The 20907-nt window shown below is 52.4% G+C and overlaps 1 protein-coding gene across 3 annotated transcripts in view, besides 2 other annotated features; it reads left to right on the top strand.

The window, feature by feature from the left end:
* NTN1 (netrin 1) overlaps window positions 1-20907 on the top strand; it is a 240914-nt gene that overhangs the window by 202108 nt on the left and 17899 nt on the right. For all 3 annotated transcript variants that reach the window (XM_047437096.1, NM_004822.3, XM_006721595.4), the window contains exon 6: window positions 15974-16048. In XM_047437096.1, coding sequence (XP_047293052.1) covers window positions 15974-16048 — 75 coding nt within the window. The remainder of the gene's footprint in view (window positions 1-15973; window positions 16049-20907) is intronic.
* Window positions 16010-17209: an enhancer, noted in NCBI's record as "BRD4-independent group 4 enhancer chr17:9124521-9125720 (GRCh37/hg19 assembly coordinates)". NCBI's record gives its function as "activates an origin of replication core promoter dependent on BRD2, P300/CBP, MED14 and CDK7 cofactors, and independent of BRD4, by STARR-seq in HCT116 cells {active_cell/tissue: HCT116}" and the evidence as "EXISTENCE:reporter gene assay evidence [ECO:0000049][PMID:35650434]".
* Window positions 19902-20453: an enhancer, noted in NCBI's record as "NANOG-H3K27ac-H3K4me1 hESC enhancer chr17:9128413-9128964 (GRCh37/hg19 assembly coordinates)". NCBI's record gives its function as "activates a minimal SCP1, AML or CMV promoter by ChIP-STARR-seq in naive H9 embryonic stem cells {active_cell/tissue: H9 hESC(naive)}" and the evidence as "EXISTENCE:reporter gene assay evidence [ECO:0000049][PMID:30033119]".

The raw sequence follows: 20907 nt of genomic DNA on the forward strand, positions 1-20907 counted from the left end.
GCTGGTGGGAGGAGGGGCAGGAAGCCTCATGGACATGAGGGCACTATTTGGGGAAGGGTATGGTGGCAAGAATAGATGGGGGTAGAGGAAGCTACACGGAGGTTCTGCCTGAGGGCTGGGAAGCCAAAAGGATGGTCCCTTGAAAAGGGGCAGCCAGGTGCAGTGGCTCATGCCTGTAATCCTAACACTTTGGGAGGCCAGAGCAGGAGGATCACTTGAGCCTGAGACTTCGAGACCAGCCTGGGCAACATAGTGAGACCTCATCTCTACAAAAAATAATAAATTAGCTATGTTTGGTTGTGTGCACCTGTAGTCCTAGCTACGTGGGAGGCTAAGTAGGATCATTGGAGCCCACGGGTTCGAGGCTGCAGTGAGCTGTGATTGCGCCTCTGCGCTCCAGCTGGGGTGACAAAGGGAGACCCTGTCTCAGAGAGAGAGAGAGAAGGGGCAGCTCCTGCATTGCGATGGGGGGAGGTTAAGGGTCAGTACTCACTAGTCAACAGGTTGCCATGGCTCTGTGTATGGAAAGAGACCCCTCTGTCCTGTGCTGGAGTGGAAGGCAGCTGTGTTAGGGAATGGGCCCCCACCGGCCAGTGACTTTGGATGCTGAACACTTGTACCTCTGTTTTCTCCTGTGTGTAATGGCCATGGCCGTCCTAATACCACCCGAACTGCCTCTTCCTATGTGGCTGTGCAGCTTACTCGGGACATTGGGTGGAAAGCACTTTGGTGAGAGCTTGGCAGGTGTAGACTCATCACCATTCCGGTTGCTCCTGCCGCAGACGGGCTGAGCTCCAACTGGGGCATGCCTCTGAGGCTGAGGCAGCATCTGTAGGCTGGGAACAGGGTGACCCCTAGGTCTGGGACTGGTGGCAGAGCAGGGTCTGGGGTGACTTCGCGGTAGAAGCAATTTCCTCAGCAGAGTTGACACTGGCTGGGGAGGACTGGGACTGAGCAGCTGAGGGTCAAGAGAAAATTCTGGATGTCCAGGAGCTGGTTCAGCCAGCTGAGGTCTCCTGCCTCCAGTCAGGAGGGCTTTTTGCAGTCCCAAATGCTCTGGGCAAGAGGCTTTAATCTAATTACATGCTTTATTTGAGCCAATTTGTTTTCCAATCCATCTTGTTCAGCAAAAAGAAAGAGCCTGCTGGGGACTCATTTGCACCCTCTTGTTCCAAGTGGAGAAGAGGGGTTGAGCTCCCATCTCACATGGTCAGTGCAGCCCCCAACCTCTCCCAGCCCGGCCACCCCACCCCTGAGCCAGGCTGCAGACTGCCCTGCCCTCGGGGGGAGGGGGCTGGGGCGGCTCAGGTAGAAAAAGCCTGGCAGGCTTGCCCCCTCCCAGAAGTCCACCCCAGCGTGCCTCTCCGTGCCTTCCCTTTGGGGGTCCCGGTGCACTAGGCAGGAATGACACGGGATGGGCTTCCAGGCCAGGCAGCCTGGGAGGGGATTTCATCCTCAGGAGGTCACCCAGCCTCGGAACCTTCCTGGCTCCTCCTGTGAGAGCTGCCCTCAGAATCCAATGCCCCATATTTTTAAATCTGCAAATATATTTTCATCATAAGGCAGTGGATTTAGGATCTGTGTTATTAAAGTCCAAACAAAACACCAAAGCCCTTCAAACCTCCCTGGAGAGGGAAGATTTATCGGCTCCTGCTCTCCTCCCCAGGCACGGAGCCACACTCTCCAAGCTTCGCTTTTTAAGTTTTGCAGCATTTTCCAAAATTGCCTTTTTCTGCCCTTCCGATTCCTGCTTGGAGCCTTTACTTTTCGGCTGTTTACAGAGACTCGAGCCTGGTGACTTCCACCTTTGGAGTATGGGAGTGCCGGAATTGCTCGGCTGAGGGTCACTTTGTCTGCCGCACAGTGGTGGCAGCTGCGCCCGTTTTTATTGAACTTGCTCAACAAATATTTATTGAGGGCTTGTTATGTGTCCCGGGCCCTGGGGATACAGCAGTGAAGACTTCACTTTGGGGAGGAAGAGATACAATAAACAAACCAAACTGAAAAATGTATCACTGCACAGGGTGACAAGTGCCGTGAAGGAACCACATCCGCTACAGATGGAGTTGCTTTTCAGAACAGCCAGAGGTCAGCCATTATTCAGTGAATCAAGGACATACTTGAGTGAGAAATATCTTTGGGTTTAAAATAATTGGATGTGCCAGTAATACAATAAAATTGCTTTTCTGCCATGGCTCCTAAACTAGAGTAAAGATAATGAGAGCCAACATTTTTTAGTGCCTGTCATGTCGGGCTTCATCTCGCTGGAACTTTAAAAGATTGTTACAAACGCTCACCCCCGCTTAATAAATGAGGAATCGGAGGTTCAGAGAAGTGCAGCAATGTGTCCAAGGACACACAGCTTTGTAAGTCACAGAGCCAGCATTTTGAGTTCCTTGGTCGCCTGTCTGCCACCCCCTCTGTCCTGCTAGATCCTTTCCACTTCCCAGCATCCTGCAGCCCTGAAGCTCATCAGTAGTCTGAGACCATTGCCACTGGAGCCGCGGATTGTATCCTGGGGTCCAGGAAGAGATGTTCTTGTCCAACTAACACCCCACACCCCATAGACAGCAGGCTGAGGCCTGCAGAAAAGCCTTCTGATTCAGAGCTCAAGGGTCCCATTTTTCAGATATTAGCTGTACATCTGTTAAAGGTGGCATGGCCTTCTGATTTCTGGTGCCACTCAAACCCTCTCCAGCCCAACTCGTGCCCTCTTTGTTGTCAAAGAGTTTGGCAGGTTTAAAAGATGCCTAAACCAGCTGGGTGCAGTGGCTCACGCCTGTAATCCCGGCACTTTGGGAGGCTGAGGCAGGTGGATCATGAGGTCAGGAGTTCGAGACCAGCCTGGCCAATATGGTGAAACCCCATCTCTACCAAAAATACAAAAATTAGCCAGGCGTAGTGGTGTGTGCCTGTAATCCCAGCTACTCGGGAGGCTGAGGCAGAAGAATCGCTTGAACCTGGAAGGCGGAGGTTGCAGTGAGCTGAGATCATGCCATTGCACTCCAGCCTAGGCCACAGATCGACACTCCATCTCTAAATAAATAAATAAATAAAGCCTAAGCCCTTTACCCAGGCTGTCTCAGGGGTATCATCAGAATAATTGCAAAGGGTGCTGGCTGACGTCTTTTGTTTGGGGAGCCTGTGTTTGTGGGTTCGTTGGTCCAGGCAGCTTTGGTGTCTCACAGAGACAGCCGCAGTCAGCTTATTGTCCAGAGTGTATGTGCCAGTGGGTTCGCTGAGCAGTCAGCGGTGACCTGCACTGTGCTAGGTGCTGGGACACCAAGGTCCGATTTGCCAGGGGAGGAGGCAGACAGAAAATCCCAGACCAGGAAATGGGCGCTAAGAACCTGGAGGTTTTCTTGTGCCTGGGGCTGAGAGGAAGGCTACACAGGGAAGTGGCACAGGAACAGATTCCAAGCACAAGTGCCAAGGGGAAAGGCATTCATGGCCTCCGGCTTCTCCTAATACCCAAGAGCTTAGGTCCTGTTTTTTCCAGATATTATTTTGCAAATAATAGGATTCTACCACCGTGCACTCCAGGGGAGGAGTAGACGCCCCCTTGGGCCTGATGTACTCTTCATCCCCAGCCCTGCCTGGCTCTAGGCCTGTGGCACAGCCAAGAAAGGGACCTTGCTCCTGTCCGGAGACAGGGCTGCATCAGCCAGATCCCACCACACCAACCCATTTTCCTGTATCTGCTAAGGACTGGACCCAGGACACTGCATCTCAGATCTCAGCTCTCCTCCTGGCCTCAAGAGGCCCCAGGATCTGGCCCTGCCTTTCCCACTGGCCTGCCATCATTCACCCTCCACTCTCAGCTGCAGAGTCGGAGGCCACCTGGAGCCCATCACATGCAGTTGGCAGCACCTTCTCATCCTTCAGGACACAGCTGAGACCATCTCTGACCTCCCCTTACCCATCTCACGGCACCATAGTCATTTCCTCCTAAATCCTGTGAATGGGTAGCAGTTATGACCATCATCACTACCACATTTTACTGATGAAGAACTTGGAATGGTGAATGACCCCAGATCATAGGTTGGATGTGAACCCTTTCCCTGCAGCCCTGCTCAGTAGATTTCCACTTACGTCCTGGGGCCAGAAGTAGATTCATGGCCACGGTGAGCTGCAAGGGAATCTTTGAAGAAGAGTATTCTAGATTGGAGACATTAGGGTTTGCTCTTGAGGAAGAAAGGAAAATCGATATTGCAGGGGGCCAGAGCGGACCTGTCAGACTCAGGCCTGGTGTTTGAGGCTGTCCCAGTGGGTGGCTCTCTAGGAGACAGTATACAGGAAGGCAGGCCTTGGCCCTGGGTGTGCATTGCACAGCTGTGTGCACCTCCAGGAGCCTGCCTCTGCCCCTGTTGGTGCACCAAAGGGAACCATCAGAGAAGGTGGCCACAACTAGGGAGGCAGCAGAAAGAAAGGGCAGGGCTTCCCTGGGCAGCACTTGGTGGGGGCCAGGGCACCAGGGCCCCCTCTGACCAGCGAAGCCCCGAGGACCCCAGCTTGGTGCAGGAAGAGGACCCAGTGCTTCAGTTTGCCGGTATAAAAAACTCACACCCATGCTTCCTCACCTGAATACATAGTTGCAGTCCCTGAGACAGAATGTAGCTCAGGCAGCAGAATGACAGTCTAGGCTCCTGAGAGCCAGACCCTGGCTCTTTGTAACCATGGTACGGAGTGGAGAGCACGTTCTGGTAACCTTGGGCATGAGGTGGGGCCTGGGCAGTCAGGGCACCGTCCCTGAGAGGGTGAGAGCAAAAGCCAGCCTCTGCCCTATGTGATGAAACCCAGCAGCCCTAGGTGACCTGGGCCAGGCCAGGCCCCTGGGGTGGCTTTGCATGACATTTAAAAAAGAAGTCAAACCCTATCCAGCTCCCATGGCCCCTCAAGCTCTGGGACTCATCTCTCAGCTGCTGCCCCTGTCCTTCCGTCCGTGCAAGGAACTCCAACTTTCATCCAGTCCCTGAACCATGCCGAGCTGGGTCCTGCCTCAGGGCCTTTGCACAGGCTGCTCCTCCTGCTTGGAACCCTCTTCCCTCAGACCTTCCTGCCCTGCCTCCTTTGCACCGTTTAGGTCTTGTTCATGGGCTACCCCTCAGGGAGCTGTCTACAGCCACCCTGGCTATGGCACTGTCCTCACTCCCAGCCACCTTACCATGCACACAGTTGGCATTCAGGGAGAGGATGAAACCTCACACACACAGGCACATGTGCGTGCACACACACACACACCCCCACACCCACACACACACACACACACACACTCTTCTGCTGTCTCCTGGGGAGGGGGTAGCACTTCTCCACAGCAGAAGCTCTATAGATTGGAAATAGAAATGTCACTTTGTTGAATACAGATGTCATTTACTATAGGATTCCCACCCCTTGTAAGTAAATGGTCCTCATCCTCGCTAAGAAGAGCCTCACCTCGGCCGGTCGCTCACATCTGTAATCCCAACACTTTGGGAGGCCGAGGCAAGCGGATCACCTGAGCTCAGGAGTTCAAGACCAACTTGGCCAACATGGTGAAAGCCCATCTCTACAAAAATACAAAAATTAGCTGTGCATGATGGCAGGTGCCTGTAATCCCAGCTACTTGGGAGGTTGAGGCGGGAGAATCGCTTGAACCTGGGAGGTGGAGGTTGCAGTGAGCCAAGATCACACCACTGCACTCCAGCTTGGGCTACAGAGTGAGACTCCATCTGAAAAAAAAAAAAAAAAAAAAAAAAAAAAAAAAGCCTCACCTTAGACTATTTTTAGTGTTTCTTTCTTTCTAACACAAGAATTGTATCCTCATTGCAGTAAATTTTAAAATATACCTAAGACAATAAAGCAAGAGTATAAAAACCAGCCACAGGCCCACCACCCAACATTTCTGGCACATGCTATTCTTCTAGAATAAAATCCAAACCCCTGCCATTGTTGAAAAGGCCCTAGGGACTCCCTGCAAACTGTAAGCCTCATCTCTGGCTGTGCAAACCCCAGCTTTTGCCAGCTCCAGTCTCCCTTCCTTTTGGTTTCTCACACTTTCCTGCCCTGGGGCCTTTGCAACTGCCGAGTGCTGGGATGCTCCTCCCTGCACTTCCTGGGGCTGATCCCTTGTCATCTGAGTGTCACCTCCTGGGATGGGTCTAAGTAGGTCTCCACCTGTGCCCCCTGCCCCCACGCATTCCCTCCCAGTGTGCTCGGCTCACTGTCATCATTTCCTGAGTGTCACCGTCAGGAATGGGAGTGATGACACTCGTGCTGTTGGCCTCTCCCCTCCTGCTGTGATGCCACCCACTGCTCCATTAGCCTTGGGGATCACCCAGTGCCTCCCAGAGCTGTTCATGTGGGAAGTGCTTCATCAAACGTTCGAATGAATGGATGATAAATTCCTAGAAGTGCGGTTGCTGCGTTGGAGTATGCATGTGTATGTTCTCAGGGTTTTGACACTCAATGCCAGCCACGCTCGGGAAAGTTCATATTTTAATCTGTGCCCCAGCCATATCGTGTGAGTGTGTGTATGCTTGCCTTCACCAGTTTGCTAGGCAGAAGCGCTATATTCTTGTTGGTTTATGTTTTGTTTCTTTGATAATTTGAGATTGAACATGGGTGCATCTCTTTGTTCCCTTTTTATTTCCTCTTTTGTGAATGGCCTGTTCCTTCCCTTTGAATTTTTGGTTGCTGTCTTTTTCTTAGTGATTCAGAAGAGTTCTTTATATGTGAAAGACACCAGTCCTTGGCTTCCTGTGTTACAAACATTTTGGGCTTGCTTCTAGACCCTTACTTCCATAGGTTGCTAAGCTCCTTGGCCAGTCCATTGCTAGAAGATGCTTCATTTGGGGCATCGTTAGCCTTTCTGCCCCCAAGGCCCAAAGTCAAATGAGCATTTTGCTTTTGAGGCAGGTAGGGCTTGAGGGTGATGGATTGGGTCAGCGAGACTAGTACAGGCTTAGAGAGATGGGTGGGGGCTAGAGATCTGCCTGTGGGCCCCAGCTCTCCCTGACAGGTGGCTCTACCCCTGGATGAGGTGCTGTTGGTGAGGGTGGTAAGAAGGTGGTCTTACCTGGGGCAGGGTGGGGCAAGTCACGAAGTCACCTGCAGCCTAGGACCAAGAGGTGAGAGCCAGCTTCCTGGGGAGTGTGTCCTCCATTCTCATCATGCCTCGCGCATGATGGCCCTTATGAAACCCACGGATGCCTGCGGCACCTTGAAAACCGAACACATGGAAATCTGGACTCTCTGGCCGCGGAGATTCCATGCAGCTTTCTGGTTCTAGATCAGGCAGCACCAAACATACTTTCTGGGCAGACTGGCCTCATTTGCCTTTTGTCACCTGCTGGTGGGCAGAATGGCCCAGCCGAAATGGACAGAGCTGGCTGGGTGCCCCTGTTAGCCCCAGCCTTTCTCCCCTTAAACTCTTTCACCCTGGGCCAGGGAGAACCAGGGGCTCCTCCCCTACGCCCAGCCCTTGGCGTCTGCAACTTACCCAACCCTTCCAGGTTTCTCTGCCCGGGGAGGACAGACCATGTTGGCTGGGTGTCCCTCACTCATTACACCCCCTGCCCCACCTTCCCAAGCCCGACAGCCCAGAAGCAGAGCGGCAGAGGTGTTGCGAGCGAGTGGGCCAGGGCTGCTGAGAGCGAGACCTTTGCCAGCTCCCCGCCCTGCTCCAAGGGGAGGTGCCAGATGCGGTGCCCCTGGCTTCAACCGTGGCCGCCGGGCTCTGCCTGCCATATGCTCAGAGATGAGCCTCGATCCGGCGAGCAGGCCGGCTCAGCAGGATTTTGGCACCTGGGGCACAGGAGGCAGACCAGAGGGGCCAGCTACCCAAGGTGGAGGAAGAGGCAGGACGGTCTCGGCCGCTGGGATTGGGCCTGCAGGCCACCTCTTGGCTCTTGGCTGTGGGTCGGTCAGGGGAGCAGGTGGGAGGAATAAAAGGGAGGGTAGGCTGCTCCCAGGAGGAGCCAGGATGCCAGCCAGCCAGGATGGGCCTGCTGCGAGCCAGGCAGATGGTGGCCTCCAGGTCTCAGTGGCTCTCCCTGGGACAGAGCACGTCCGAGTAGGGGGCCAGGCAGTGCCTGTGTCCAGCCCTGGCAGCTTCTGTCTCTTTTTGGGCAGTAGAGTGAGATAGAAGGGCAGCCCTGGTGCAGGACCTCCTGCAGAGCTGCCAGTATTTACCTGTGCCCTCAATCCTAGCTCCAGAGGCTCCCCTGAGAGAGCAGGGCAGCAGGGCGTTCTGCCTACTCTTTACTTGTTACTCCTGCATGGAGCAAGTATGTCCTGGCAGGGTGGATGGGGTCCCAGCGGCTGGGTGGTGGTAGGATGGGAAACTGTGGGGCATAAAACGTTGGGTCTCCTGGTAAATGAGGCTGATCAATTGGCCCATATAGTCTGTGTGTATATATGGTTATGCCAGCTTTTATATTAAGGCTGAATCATATAAAACTGCTTTTTTAAAGTTGCAAAATGGTCCATTTTTAGCACTGTCATCTGTTTCATCTTAATAGCTTTCCATCTTTTTCTGTGTTTCTGAACAGATCAAATAGCGTGAAATCGATTTGTCCTTTAAATGTTTACATGGACCTACCTCTGAAACCATCTCTATCCAGACATCTCTCATGACTATTTTTCTGTTCAGATTCCATGTCTCTTACTCAGTTTAATTTGCTCCTTTATGTTTTCCTAACATTTTGCATTTCATTCAGATTTCCAAGATTTTTAGGCTAAAGTTGTATATACTAGCCTTGTAATTTATTTCTTGTTACTTCTTAAAGTTCCGTTTTCTTTCTTTTATTTGTAGTTAAACATGACAGTGTTTTGTCTTTTTTTTTTCTTTTAGTTTGTATTTGGGCTTTTCAAAGAATCAGTTCTTGGATGTATTTATGTATTTTTTCTGTATTCTACTATATTTCTACTTCTGTTGTTATTAATTCATTCCTTTTGCTTTCTTTGGGTTTTGTTTTGCTCATTTTCTAGCTTCTAGAATTGAATGCATTTCATTTATTTTCATTATTTCTTCTTTAATAACAAATAATATCATTGTGGTCAGGAAATGTGGCTTGTATAGTTTGCGCTTCTTGGGATTAATTTAGCATTCTTTCACTAAGGATTTCTGTCTGTTTCATTTTTGTATTACTATTGATTTTTGCTTAATATATTTCAATGAGATGTTATTCTACGTCAAAAAATCCTTGTTTAATTACTAGGTGATGTTCTTTTTCCACTATAAACATGCTTGCCTTGAATTCTACTTTGCTGATACTAACATTTCCACTCTTGGTTCGTTTCTTGTTTTCATTTGCTGATACATCTTTGCTACTGCTTAAGTTGTGAGCTCTTAAAAAAAATCACTTTAGGCTGGGTGCAGTGGCTCACGCCTGTAATCCCAGCACTTTGGGAGGCCGAGGCAGGCGGATCACGAGGTTAGGAGATCGAGACCATCCTGGCTAACACAGTGAAACCCCGTCTCTACTAAAAATACAAAAAATTAGCCAGGCATGGTGGCAGGCGCCTGTAGTCCCAGCTACTCAGGAGGCTGAGGCAGGAGAATCGCTTGAACCCAGGAGGTGGAGGCTGCAGTGAGCTGAGATCACGCCACTGCACTCCAGCCTGGGCAACACAGTGAGACTCCATCTCAAAAAGAAAATCATTTTATTTGGTTATATTCCCCTTAAACAGTACTCTGTTTTAAATTCAGTTTTTCAGTAGAGCAGTTGGATCCATTTACCTTCATTGTTTTGTCTTTAGTGGTTGCTCTTCTGTGATCTTAATTTATCATAATTGCTTTTTATATTTTTCATTTTTTCTGTTTTATCTTTTGGCATATTACCTATAATTTATATCGTTTTTCTCCAGAGTTCTGTGATTATCTTTGGGTTTTTCAGAAGCATTAGTTGATCTAATAGCTCTTACTTGTCAGAATCGAGCATGAAATAGCATTTTTTACATTCTCTATACTTAAGACAAAGGGTTTTATTCCCCACCTCATTCTACTTCATAGTTTTTAATATGATCTGAAGTTTCAAACTAAATTTAAATATTTTATATATACATAGCTAGATAGATACACACACACACACACACACACACACACACACACACACATACACACATGGGGACAGAGAAGGAGACAGAGCCACTGATGTTCCCTTTCAAACAGTTAAAAATAATTTTGATATTTGCATTATGTTTAAGAACCAAATTTGGCATCTCTATGTTTACTGGTTTCAGTTTTCATCACCAGTAAGCACAGAGATATCAATCACATCACCTTGTGTTTATGCCATCACTTTCCCCTGTAAACTCTTACTTTTGACTCATTTCATAGTTGGTTGGAAAACATTCTCAAGTATTTATTTCAAAAAGGATACATAATTGGAACATTTTGTGAGCCCTTGCACATTTGAGAATGTTTTTTCTTTATTGTGGCCTATATAGTATAAGACAGTCTAGCTAGGTATAAAAATCTTAGGTCACAAATTTTTCCCTTTAAGACCTTATAGACATTGCTCCATGATCATCTCACTGGCTTGTTGTTGTTGTTGTTTAATCTGTATATATTCTTTTCTTGTCCTGGTATTTCATATGTTTTGCAAAGATGTGTCTGGATGTTGGTCCCCTTTTGTTGATTTTTGGAAAACTTCAGTGAGCTCTTTCCTTCTAAATATGTAGGTTGTCTTTTTCCTCTAAATTTTGTAAGAGTTTCTCCAATTTATTCTCCATGTTTCTGGATCAGTTTTCTACAGTATCATGAATCTTTGCTGCTTTCAAAGTGGATTACTTATTTATTTTTAGAGACAGGGTTTTACTCTGTCACTCAGGCTAAAGTGCAGTGGCGCAGTCACAGCTCACTACAATCTCAAACTCCTGGGCTCAAGCAATACTCCCACCTCATCCTCCCAAGTAACCATCACGCCCGGCTATGGTCTTTTTGTTTGTTTTATTTCATTCTTTTAAGGGACGGAATTTTGCAGCATTGCCCAGGCTGGTCTTGAACTCCTAGCCTCAAGCGATCTTCCTGCCTTGGCCTCCCAAGTGCTGGGATTACAGGTGTGAGAGCACACCCAGCCCTTCTGAAGGGGATTTTAATTGTGCTACAGGGGTTTCATCTTTTTCCAACTCTTTCTTTTATGCATCACCCTTTTTGTTTCAGCTCAGTTTAATCTCCCTTACTGCCTTTCTTCTCCTAGTTCATAGAGGCTTTGTCATTTTAGTCTTTTTAGTCTGCCATGCCCATTTGGCATGTACACCTATTGTGTATGGCTGTTTTTAAGCTACAGTGACAAAGATGAATAGTTGTGACAGCAACTTTATGGTCCCCTATGCCTAAAGTATTCACCGTTTGGTCCTTTGAAGAAGAAAAAAATTGCAGATCCATGTACTGGTGCAATGGCTGGATTCCCATCTCAGATTTAAGGAGGATGGCCAGGAAGGCGCACAGCTCTGTCTTCAGCTCCTGGTTCCTACCAGCCTTTCCCTGGATTTCCTTCTGCTCTGTGGAGGTAGTGCTCTTCCTTTCTCTGCATTGCCTGATTTTCTGATTCTCTGCAATGATTTAGATAGAAATACAAGGTGAGACTGGGTGCGGTGGCTCACGCCTGTAATCCCAGCACTTTGGGAGGCCAAGGCGGGTGGATCATGAGGTCAGGAGTTCGAGACCAGCCTGGCCAACTTGGTGAAACCCTGTCTCCACTAAAGATACAAAAAATTAGGTGGACGAGCTGGTGTGTGCCTATAGTCCTAGCTACTCGGGAGGCTGGGGCAGGAGAATCGCTTGAACCCAGGAAGCGAAGGTTGCAGTGAGCCGAGATCATGCCATTGCACTCCAGTCTGGATGACAGACAGGGCATGACTCCGTCTCAAAAAAAAAAAAAAGAAATATAAGGTGACATCTTTGCTGTACTGCTGTCCTTCTGGTCCCTAGTGGTCCTGAAACTTCCCCTCCCTGGAGGAGGGATCGTCCCCACTGCCCCCACTCACTTCCTGCTTATTTGTTCTCTGGTCTTTGTCACTGTGTCCTCCTCCCTTTTTTCAGGACTTTTCTGCTCATCAGACAAAGAGCTGTGTCCTGAGGTAAAACCTGAACAGGTTTTGCTTAGTCCACCACCATCTGCCTTTAATTACTAGAGATTGCTCCCAGATCCCAGCGTTGGGTCATCATCAGTTTCGTTTTTGGCACTAGTGTGAATGTTCAGGTTTCCTCATTGTCTTTATGGCTGTTTTGGAACAAAACAAGGAGGAGCTACATGAGAGGCTGCCAAATAGATGCCAGTTTGAAGAAGGAGTCAAAGCTGCATTTTAAAGGTGTGGTTTGTCCATCTTGAAGCACTCTCTGTAGCTTTGTGTGTACCATAGAGAGAGAACATACGGTAACATTTTCCTTATTCGGGGGCCATTGTCCAGTGACCTCAGCTATCTGGAATACAACCTAAACAAAGAGTCCACAAGCAGCCAAATAGCTGTCACAGTGTCCATGTTCTGAAGGTTATTCACTTTACCTAAGGGAGAACATTTCAGCCTCTCCTTCCAAGCCTAGTTACCTGTATTTTACATACAATTCTAGCAAGCTTGGTCTTTGTTTTCCTAGCAAATCTGAAGGGCATAGGGGACATTTTGCAACAAGCACACTGATCTGACAAGAATTTCCAGCTGACAGAAAGGAAAGACACCAAAAAAAAAAAAAAAAAAAAAAGCAAACGCAACTCCAAATGCTCAGAGGGTGATGTCATTTTCTGTAAGGGCAAGCAGCCTGAGGTTCTCCCTGTGAGCACTCTCCAGTTTGACTCAGCAGCCACCTTCTCTGGATCTTTCCTCTGCCACACTGGGTGCTCTGTGCAAATCATGGGTGTGGAGACTGTCCCCATCTCTCACAGTTGGTTCAGACTGTGGTTCTAACCCTGGCTGTGCTTTAGAACCATCTGGGGAACATTAAAACTTCAGACACTCCGGCCATTCCCTAAGACAAAGAAATCAGAAAGTCCTGGGAGTGGGACCCAGGCATCGTGATGCCACTGCATAGCCAGGACTGGGAGCAGGAGGTTAAGAGCAGGGACTGGGCTGCCAGACTGCCTCATTGGGCACACGACCTTGAGCTGGTGAGTCACCAATGTCTCTGTGCCTTAGATTCTCATCTGTAAAATGGGGCCTGATTGAAGGGCCAAGACGAGTTCATCAACCGTGAGAACAGTGCCCAGCGCCTCATTAGTTTCGTGAGAGTAGCTGCCATTAGTGAGGTACAGACTGGATATTCATGGTGATGACTGTGATTTGTCAAGCAGGGCCTGTGAGTGCAATGTAATTAGGCAGTGATGGATGCCACACATTCTAGGGCAGTCTCTGTCCCAGGTAGACACTTGGCTCTGGAGAGAAGAGCTGTAGAGGTTTCTAGGCTGGGACAGTGACGCTGAAGGGACAGGGGCAGGCTGTCCCAGGACTCATCTGCCTTCCTCCTGCCCCGCCCCCCACCCCCGGGGTGGGGCTTACCTTGGGCGGGCTGCTCTGGAACCTTTCTGAGCTCTCAGTTCTAAGCTAGGCACCGCAGTCCCTCCCTCAAAGCATCAGATGAGGCTCGGAAGAGCTGACATGCTCAAAGGCACCCCCTCTGCCACAGCCTATGCTATCTACAAGGCTGAGATGGAGAGGTGCGCCTTGGCCCATGGTGAGGAGGCCGGTGAAAGGGATTTCCTCCTGATTGGAAATGAAAGTGCTGGTGTGGGATGATGGCTTTTGTGAAAAAAAAAAAAAAAATTGCGAGGAGAGTGGATTGAAGGCCACCCCTGCAAGAACGTCACTCGGCACAACTTGCATTCCAATTCGCTTCCCTAAGTGGAGAAAGCAGGAAGGGATTTCAGCCAGCTCACGCAGAATCGCCAGGACTTACGCACAACCTGGGTTCAGCCCCAGCAGTGGCTTTATTGTGAGCGTCATCTATCCCTGAGCTGGCAAAGATGTGGCCCAGAGCGGCTGTTCCTCACAGGGAAGTGCGGCCGCGGTGCTGATGGTGCTGATGGCGCCGTTGACTTGAGTGTTTGGGCTGCCGTCACTTTCATCCCAACCTCTCAGGCTTGGCCACAGTAGAGTGAGGGCCACTCTCTCTGGACAGCCCAGTCCCTGCACCCCAAGAAATCCCTACTCTAGTAACCAAGCTGCTATCCAGATGGCAGGAGGGATGGGGACTGTGGCCACCAGTGCCATGGAGCAGGGGTGTCATGAAGGGGCTCCGAGGGCTCAGATCATAGGGAGCAGGAAGCAGGGCTGTTTTTCTCCCATTTCCTGAGACTGGTTCCTAACTGGGGGCCCCAAGAGTCTGGCACAGGAAGCGGTGGGAGGCTACCACACCCATGGCCCCCAAGGTAGTGGGATAGAGCTGCATTGATCTTCATTGAGGCACCAGTCAATGTATCTCAGGACCTCGATGGAGGCAGTGGCCTTCACAGGCCAGAGGCCAGCCCTGGAGAGGTCTCCCTGAACACTCCCTGCAGATCTAAGTCCTGGGTTGGGGTGCAGGTGGCACTGGGAGGCCTCTGCTTTCCTGCTTCGGCTTCCCCTTGTGCTCCCACACAAATCACTCCTCCCCTACCTTGACCTTTGTTTTCCCCTCTGCGGGATAGGACGCTGCCACCTGCCCCTGGAGCAGCCGCCCGTGTGTGTGCACGTGTGTGTGCACGTGTGTGTTGAATCTTTCCCCTCCTGGTCCTCTTTTCCTAATCCCTCACCAGGACACACACCCAGCCAACTTCCATCAACCCATGCCACCACTGCTTCTAGAACAGGCTGGGCCCCCTGCAGCTCCCTGCAGCTCCCCGCTCCTCCCCGCTGGCCAGCCTGGCTGGTCTTCCCCCAGGCAGTCTGGGAATTGCTAAAATACAGGGCATTCCTCATCCCTGGCTCTGAGCTCACCTCTGCTCACACTGAGGGGGAATCTGTCAGAGTATCGCCTAACCAAGAGTGCAGGGATCTTGGCATCTCAGGCCAGCCTTGGCAGTAGCTACCCAGAGTGCACTGGGCAGGTGGCTTACCCTCTTTGAGCCTCAGTCTTCTTGTCTGTGGAATGGGAATGATACCTACCCATCAAAGAAGGGTTGGGAGAATTGAATGAGATCCTGCCTGCTGAGTGCTGGGGGCAGGGCAGACTGGGGGAGATTTGCTGAGGCTCTGGTGGGCTGTGCCGTCACGTGAAGCTGTCACACACAGACTTGGCGAAGGAATTGTGTCTCCTTGTTCAAAGAACAGCGATGGCTGGCAGGGAAAAGCCATGGTTGGGCTGAAGTGGGAAGCTGCATTTGGGGGTTGACACAGGCCCAAGGGCTGGCAGGCCCTGGTGCCCTCCACATCCTGCTTGGCTCTCGGTTGGGCCCTGGAATCCCCCAGTGATACCCAGTGGACGCAGGCCTAGCAGCCCTGCCTCTCACCAGTAGGGCCCATTAGAACTGAACTCGTCTTCGTGGGGCATTTTATTTGCACACTGCAGTAGAGTGAACACCAAAGGGGTTTTTTAATGCTTCATGGGCTGCTAATTTCCCCTGTGACCTCTTTTGTTGAGGCCTGACCCCAGCCAGAGGCTCCGCACCATGAAAGCCAGCGCCTGACACAGACCCAGGGCGCGGGGTGACAATGAGGCCTCTATCGGCTTTAATCAGGCTCCAGTTGAGTCTTAAGAATAGGGAGAATCTGTGTGGTGCTCAGAAGCCCTGGGTGGCAGGAGCCCCCCGAGACTCTCACGGAGGCCAGGGTGGTTGCAGGCGGTGGCTGAGGGATTCGTCAGGCCAGGGAGGGGGTGGGTGGGTCGGACGGGGGCCCTTTGTCCCTCAGGCCTCTTTAGAAGCGCAGGCCTTTCCTGAATGGCCGCCTGCCCGCCCGGCCTGGCCCATGGGTATCACAGGCCTCTGGCTATTTAGGGAGGCGGCCTCCTACTCTGCCCGCCAGCCTATTCATCGCCAGCCTAATTAGTTTTTGTCTGTGCTCCCCCCCCACCCCCCTGCAGACTGCGATTCCTACTGCAAGGCCTCCAAGGGGAAGCTGAAGATTAACATGAAAAAGTACTGCAAGAAGGACTATGGTGAGTGAGAGTCCCCTTGTCTGGGGAGGATGGGAGGGGGCCACGTGACCAGCGAGGTGCTGGGGCTGGGGTGCAGCTGGCCCCCGATGGGTGTTGGTCGTGAAGACCCTGTGACCGATGGGAACTAGCCGGACGGATCCCACGCCTGGGAATTTCTCATCTTTTCCTCCTTGGCCCTCAGAGACGGGGGCATGAGGAGCCCAGTGGCCTGGTTTCTCCCCTTCACCCTCCTGAGGCTGGGACACCCAGGCTGGCCTCTGGCTTTGACTCTGCCGCTGATGGGCTGTGTGGCCACAGACCAGTGGCTTTACCTCTGTGGTCTTCTGTGTCTGCATCATACTGCGGGGATTTGACCCGAGTCCACGTGGCTCAAAGGGAAGCTCTCTGGGCATCAGACAAGGGCTGGGAGCTCCCCGGTGCATTTCCAGTGTTCCGCCAGGCTGTAGCGGGGCCGGGAGTCTGCGCTGTAAACGGCTCACCACTCATTCCCATGCACCGGAAGTTCCGCTGCCCAGACCCATGGAGCAGACAGTCCTGGGGGCCACCTGCAGAGATTGCTTGTCACCTGTGACCTCAGGCTCCCTTCCCGGGAAGGGTGTGTCCTGTCCCCTTGCTCTCATGGTGGTCGTGGAGAGTGGAGATGGTCTGGGAGCCTGCAGGAGGAGGGCCCCGCAGTGGCCAGCGGGCAGGTGTGTGTGAAGAGCTGGGGCTGGTGGCAGGGGCTCTTCAGAATGGGGGACGCAAATAGAAACCCTGAAAGCATTGTCCAGCTGACCACTGGCAAGGCCCCCGCATACAGCCAGGGCATCCATGTGGGTGGCTGAGGCCCCCACCATAGGCCGGGAAGGAGCCCCAGGCCCAGGACTCCTGAATCCAGGCCTGGTTCTTTCTAGCACGGGGCCTCTCCTTGACCTGGTGGGCCAGGGATTGAGCCTGGGGCTGGCCCCCCAATTCTGGGCCCACGAAAGTCCACATCTGCCCACCTCCCTCCGTCCTCCTCCTCACTCCAGCTGGACATAGCCCATCTTTCCTGTCCCATCTTTAACTGACCCCAGGAGGTGCAGCCCCTATCCCCTCAGTGGCCCTGCCAGCCCCAGCACCTCCTGGCCACCTCTGGGAAGGCAGAACGACCTCTCTGTTCTGCTCAGCTTCCCAAGGCTGTCCTAATCATATGCTTCTCAGGGGATCTGGGATGAGTCCCATTGCTTACCTGAGCCTCAGTTTCCTTATATGTAAGATGGAGATGATGCCACTTGCTGAGTGTATACGGGGAGGACAGAGCACGGGTGCCTAACAGGCTCCCAGCAAACAGTGACCTCTGCGTCCAAAGGAAGCTGGTGAGGAAAGAGGAGGAGGGAGGAAACGGCGGTGGAAGAAGAGGGGTGAGAAGCGAAGGCCACCTGTGGAGGAGGCCTCACTATCCAGAATCTGAGCTCCGTCCCTTCCCTGACCCCGTGGGGGTCCGGCAGCCCTACCCTGGGACCCAGACCTCATGGAGATCCTAACTGGGCCAGCTGCTTGAACAAGGCTTTCTTCTTTAATAAGGACAGTGGTCAGGACCTTTTAGCACAGTGAAATGAATGACGAGGCCCAAAGGTATCTAAAGGAATCTGGAGAACTTCTAAAATGTTCTCGTTTATTGTGTGTGTGTGTGTATGTGAGAGAGTTCATACGCACACTCCCTACGCACACACTGAAGCCAGGGTAAGACCCCAGTAATTCAGCCCCATTCCCCACAGGCCTTCTGGCCTTCTACAGGGTGAAGAAGAGCAGCTGGCAGGTATTATGCATCAATTCAGAAGCTGCCAGGCTATGGGCATCAAAGTTCAAGGCCCTTCAGGGGTCTACAGTCAATTCCTAAAAGCTGCGTTAAGCTGTATACATCCCAGGGCAGTGCAGAAACTTCCACCTCCCACGGGAAAATAAACCTAGATTTAGAAATGAAACTTGCAATTACTTTAAGATAAAGGAAGTGCGTCTCCAAGCCAGGAAAGTAGGGGCCCTGGGTTGTTTTGAAAGGAGCTCAGGGCTGGGTGTGGTGGCTCACGCCTGTAATCCCAGCACTTTGGGAGGCCAAGGTGGGCAGATCACCTGAGGGTGAATATTTGAGACCAGCCTGGCCAACATGATGAAACCTGGTCTCTACTAAAAATACAAAAATTAGCTGGGCGTCGTGGCGCACACCTGTAATCTCAGCTACTCGGGAGGCTGAGGCAGGAGAATCCCTTGAATCTGGGAAGCAGAGGTTGCAGTGAGCTGAGATCACATGACTGCACTCCAGACTGGCCTGGGCGACAGAGTGAGACTCTGTCTCAAAAAAAAGAAAGAAAGGAGCTCATATGGCCCCGGAGCTGCAGGGACTGCATCCTCCCAGCCCTGGGTCTTCAGTGTCCCCTGGGGACTGTTAGGTGGGCCATGGGGCAGGCCTCTCTCCACTCCCCTAGGCAGCCCTCTTGTGAGATGACGACTTGAGCAGGACGCCCAAGGCTCTTGTAGCTTTCCTAGGCTTTGGACCTGGGCACCGCAGCACTGTCCTCCTAGCAAAGCGGTGGGCCCAGAGGAGTTAATGGGTCGCAGAGGGAAAGCCCTGTGCTTCTCCTCTCCCCATCCTTCCCTGCACAAGGCCTAGGGGTAACCTCGGCAAGGAGGTAGGAGGGGAAGGGAGAGGAATAGGTGGGCTTGCTTGGGGAATGGATTGTTTTGATCGCCTATTTGGTTTGGTTTTAGTCTCGAAGAACTCTTTAAGCAGCTACACTGTGGAGAGGCAGCTGGGAGCAAGGAGGAAGGCACTGACCCACAGCCTCTGCTCTGTTCTTTAATCATGAAATCATGAAAATGGGGCTTGTAAAAGGGCCCAAAACTGATCCTGTGTTCCACTGGATTCTATTTGACTCAACCTGGTTTTCTTGTCCTCTGACTTTGTTCCTTCCAGTGAATTCTGCCTCCCCAACAATATTCCAGGGGGCACCTTGGCCCCTCAGAGCTCTCCTGGCCCCTCACCTCTTCTCTTCAGGCAGCCCCTCTCTGTCTGCCGAACCTGACACCCTCCTTTCGTAGACTCGAAGGAGCCCCTTAGGCCTTCCCTGCGCCCTGCCCTGTTGTGGCCGCCCTGGGCAATGGGGGGCATCTCTCTTGGGGCGGGGAAGGGTGGGGCAGAGCCTCAGGGTGCCATCGGACCCTCTGTTCCCTGACTCAGCCTTCCCTTTGCCCGACACCCGACTCCCTCATGGGTTATCAGCAAAGCAGGTAGCAGGGACAGCGGGCTTCAGGTTGCTTGGGTCATAGGCAGTGACACGGGCCTGGCTGGGTGAGATGACTTGCCCAGTTACCCAGCCAGGGAGTGGCCCAGCCTCCCGCCCCTTCCACAGCAGCCTTCCTTGAGTTTTTCCTTCCCATCACAATTCCTCCAGAGAGCTGCGGGCCAGCCCTGTGTGCTCACCTTTCTAGACCTAATGGTGGTTACCCGGCTCCTGCCCCCACACCCATGGCCCAGGCGCGTCACCCAGCTGTCCACATTTCTGCTGCAAGACAAGGCTGGAGGAACAGCAGGTGGGGATGGGGTGGGGGGGCACAGTGGGATCCCCCCTGGGAGCTGATGGGGGCTGGGGCTCTGGCACCACTAGCTTTCATGTCCTCCTCACCACACTCCAAGCCTGTGACTCCACAGCCAGGACTGACACTCTCCCTGTGATTCCTCAGTCCTGGGGGTGGTGTGGTGTTTCTGGTTCCAGGACTGTTCCTGGGACTCTTGTGGTCACTTAAAAGTTGGGGGCACTTCGGGAGGCAGAGGTGGGCGGATCACGAGGTCAGGAGTTTGAAACCAGTCTGGCCAACATAGTGAAACCCCGTCTCTATTAAAAATACAAAAAATTAGCTGGGTGTGGTGGTGTGCACCTGTAATCCCAGGGAGGCTGAGGCAGGAGAATTGTTTGAACCTGGAAGGTGGAGGTTGCAGTGAGCTGAGATCGTGCCGTTGCACTCCAGCCTGAGCAACAGAGTGAGACTCTGTCTCAAAAAAAAAAATAAATAAAAAGTTGGGGAGTCCTCCCCACCCTCAGCTCAGCCTGTGTGTTCAGGCAGGAGGCAGGCCAAGAACAATGTCTGGAAAGGGATTTCACGGGCCTCTGCGGAGGGCTCAGAGGAGCCCTGCGGGGTGGGGTGGCAGGGCCTCGGGGAGTGTGTTTGGTCATAGAGGAGTGAGTGCCCCCACAGGGGCTGGCGGGGGGCCCTGAGGACAATGCCAGGCCCACGGGTTTCTCTGAGGCTGAGGCAAGGCCTCCAGTGGGCTCTGCTGGCGTCTGTGGAGAATCTCCCATGTGTCCTGTGTTGGGCCCCTGGCCCCCCTGAGAAGGTGTGTAAGGGGGTGTCCCTCCCACACAGACTTGGGCCAGCCCAGGGAGAAGGTGACCAGTAGGGGGAGGGCAGGAGGGATCTGGCCTGGGGATGAGAGAGCAGGGGAGGCCGCCAAACCGGGCGGGCCAGGGCGGGCCGGGCAGGGGCTCCCTCGGAGGCTGCATAATCCCCGCTCTCTGACTGACACCCGGCAGGGGGCCAATTAGGAAACACATTTCCTTCACCCAGGGCACTTGGATGTTCCAGAAGCCGCTAATGAGAACCTGGGGTTTGCTGCCCCTGCTGGGTGAAGAGCAGGCCCGGCTGCCAGCAGCCCCGGACCCCCTTCCTCCTCCAGGCCTCGCAGACCTTGCCCTCGTGTGGCTGAAGAGCGCGGGTCTGGGGCTCCGCGGACCTGGGCAGCGGCCAGAGGGTGGAAGGCTGGGGCGGTGGGGGCCCATGAGAAGGGGCCTGTGGGCTCGGGGCGCCGGCCCTGTCCCGTGTTCTCTCGGGCACACGCTTACAGA

The sequence above is a fragment of the Homo sapiens genome, chromosome 17, assembly GCF_000001405.40.
Source record: "Homo sapiens chromosome 17, GRCh38.p14 Primary Assembly".
Lineage (NCBI taxonomy): Eukaryota > Metazoa > Chordata > Mammalia > Primates > Hominidae > Homo > Homo sapiens.